This window comes from Homo sapiens, chromosome 17 (assembly GCF_000001405.40).
Source record: "Homo sapiens chromosome 17, GRCh38.p14 Primary Assembly".
NCBI lineage: Eukaryota > Metazoa > Chordata > Mammalia > Primates > Hominidae > Homo > Homo sapiens.
In genome coordinates, this window is record NC_000017.11 from 4,762,549 (window position 1) to 4,765,782 (window position 3,234).

The 3,234-nt window shown below is 47.1% G+C and overlaps 1 annotated feature.

Moving 5' to 3' along the window:
- Positions 1,516 to 1,678: a silencer, noted in NCBI's record as "fragment chr17:4667359-4667521 (GRCh37/hg19 assembly coordinates)". NCBI's record gives its function as "represses an EF-1alpha promoter that drives an FKBP-Casp9 reporter gene in an ReSE screen in K562 erythroleukemia cells {active_cell/tissue: K562}" and the evidence as "EXISTENCE:reporter gene assay evidence [ECO:0000049][PMID:32094911]".

Below are 3,234 nucleotides of genomic sequence, written 5' to 3' on the forward strand. Positions count from 1 at the left end.
GCACCACTGCACTCCAGCCTGGGCAACAGAGCGAGACTCCGTCTCACAAAATAAATAAATAAATAAATAGTAAGGAGGCAGGTGGCCCACAGCGGCACTCCTGCTCTTCTAGGTTGTTCGGGAGCCCAGAATCCTGATATTGTTGTTCCACCATCTCTAAGGGTTGTCCTCACCAAAGAGTCCAAACGGTTCAACTCCTGGCCTACATTCCAGCCAGCAGGATGAGGAAAGGGAAGCTCATTCCTTAAAGTCTACCACCAAAGTTGATTGTTGCAGCCATTAAAAAAGAACAAATTCATGTCCTTTGCAGCAATATGGATACAGCTGGAGGCCATTATTCTAAGCCAATTAACACACGAACTGAAAACCAAATATTGCATGTTCTCACTTACAAGTGGGAGCTAAGCACTGGGTGCACATGGACATAAGGATGTAAACAATTGACACTGGGGCCTCCAGAGGGGAAGGGAGAGAGTGGGGAAAGGGTTGAAAAAACTACTGGGTTCTGGCCGGGTGCGGTGGCTCATGCCTGTAATCCCAGCACTTTGGGAGGCTGAGGCGGGTGGATCACCTGAGGTCAGGAGTTTGAGACCAGCCTAGTCAACATGGTGAAACGCCATCTCTACTAAAAATACCAAAATTAGTCAGATGTGGTGGCATGCGCCTGTAATCTCAGCTACTTGGGAGGCTGAGGCAGGAGAATCGCTTGAACCCAGGAGGCCGAGGTTGCAGTGAGCCGAGATCGTGCCACTGCACTCCAGCCTGGGTGACAAAGTGAGACGCTGTCTCAAAAAAACAAAAAACCAAAAAAACTACTGGGTCCTATGCTCAGTACCTGGGTGACAGGATTAATCATGTTCCTAAACCTCAACATCACACAATATACCCTTATGACAAACCTGCACATGTACCCCCAAATCTAAAATAAAAGCTGAAATTATAAATAAATTGAATACTTTGTTGTGGGGATCTCATAAAACTTACAGAAAACATCTGCATTATGCCTTAAAACCAACATTGCAGTAAGGTAAGATCAACTAGCAGCATTCTCACAAAAAGGAAACAAAGTTGATCAAATCATTTACACTCCTTCCCATAAGCCATAACTATGTGACAACGCATGGCCACAGCTACAAAAGAAGTTAGAAAAAATAGGGTTTTTTTGTTGTTGTTGTTGTTTTGACACGGGGTCTCGCTCTGTCGCCCAGGCTAGAGTGCATGCAGTGGCATGATCTCAGCTCATTGCAACCTCCGCCTCCCAGGTTCAAGCGATTCTCCTGCCTCAGCCTCCGGAGTAGCTGGGATTACAGGCATGTGCCACTACGCCCGGCTAATTTTGTATTTTTATAGAGATGGGGTTTCTCCATATTGGTCAGGCTGGCCTCAAACTCCCAACCTCAGGTGATCCACCTGCCTTGGCCTCCCAAAGTGCTGGGATTACAGACGTGAGACACCACGCCTGGCTAATTTTTGTATTTTTAGTAGAGATGAGGTTTCACCATGTTGGCCAGGCTGGTCTCAAACTCCTGACCTCAGGTGATCCACCCGCCTCAGCCTCCCGAAGTGCTGGGATTACAGGCGTGAGCCACCGGGCTTGGCCGAAAATATAGTCTCTAGCTTAGCAGCCATGTGCCTTTAGCAGCAGACTACAAAGTCTGCTACTATAATAAAAGCAGAAGACTGGGACTAACTCACTATCTCTGTCACATACTAGGTCAAGCATGTGCTACTCAGCTATGGGCAGTGAGTACGGAGCCACAGAGTTTAGACAGATTCCCTGGAGAGGATATTCGCTGGATGCCTCCCCATCATTCATTCTGTCTTTCCTCCTTCCTAATACTGCCCTTAATTTCCCAGCCTGGTGGCTTAGACAGAATTGACAACACCCCCTGTGCTGGAATGCCTCCATGTGAAGAAGGACATGTTTGCTTCCCCTTCCGCCATGATTGTAAGTTTCCTAAGGCCTCCCCAGCCATGCTAAACTGTGAGTCAATTAAACCTCTTTCCTCTATAAAGTACCAGTCTCGGGTATGTCTTTATTAGCAGCGTGAGAACAGACTCATACAGCATGTTCTACCCTCTGGCCACAGTGATCCGTGTAAGGGACAGACATAGAACCCAGTCTGCACCAAGGAGAAATTTTCTGGGGTAAATGGGAAAGAAACTTCCTCTCTACTCAGGGAAAGCTATGCGAGGAGATTCTCTTCCTCCTGGTGGTAGGGTGTAAAGACATAAGGTCTGAACTGCTGCAGCTAATACTACTGTCAGGAGGAAGATCCCACTTAAGGAGGAAGTCAAAGCCAAAAAAAGGAACAGCAGAGAGAATGGCAGAGAAACAAGAACACTGATGACATCCTGAACTTCTGGACCAAACTGCACCTGCAGTTAGTCCTACTTCAGTCCTACTGGATGTTTTGATTGCTTGAACCAATAAATTCCCTTTTTGTTGCAATAGAGTTGGGTTTTCTGTTACCTGGTATAGTTCCTTACAATGGACCCAGAGTATGGCAAGCAATAATGACATATTTAATAGTATTAATATCATTTTTAGAATTTACATTATACAGCTGCCCTTTAAAAGAATTTTTTTTTTTTTTTTTTTTTTTGAGACAGAGTTTTGCTCTTGCCCAGGCTGGAGTGCAATGGCGCGATCTTGGCTCACTGCAATCTCCACCTCCCAGGTTCAAGCGATTCTCCTGCCTCAGCCTTCCCAAGTAGCTGGGATTACAGGCATGCGCTACCAAGTCCAGCTAATTTTGTATTTTTAGTAGAGATGGGGTTTCTCCATGTGGGTCCGGCTGGTCTCAAACTCCCGACCTCAGGTGAGCCGCCTACCTCGGCCTCCCAAAGTGCTGGGATTACAGGCGTGAGCCACCACGCCCGGCCACTTCAAAAGAAATTTTTACGGGGCTAGGTGCAGTGGCTCACGCCTGTAATCCCAACACTTTGGGAAGCCTATGTGTGCAGATTTCTTGAGCCCAGGAGTTCAAGACCACTTGGGCAACAAAATGAAACCCCATTTCTACAAAAAATACAAAATGATGGCTGGGCTCGGTGGCTCACACTTGTAATCCCAGCACTTTCGGAGGCCGAAGTGGGCGGATCACCTGAGGTCGGGAGTTTGAGACCAGCCTGACCAACATGGAGAAACCCTGTCTCTACTAAAAATACAAAATTAGCCGGGCGTGGTGGCACATGCCTGTAATCCTAGCTACTAGGGAGGCTGAGGCAGGA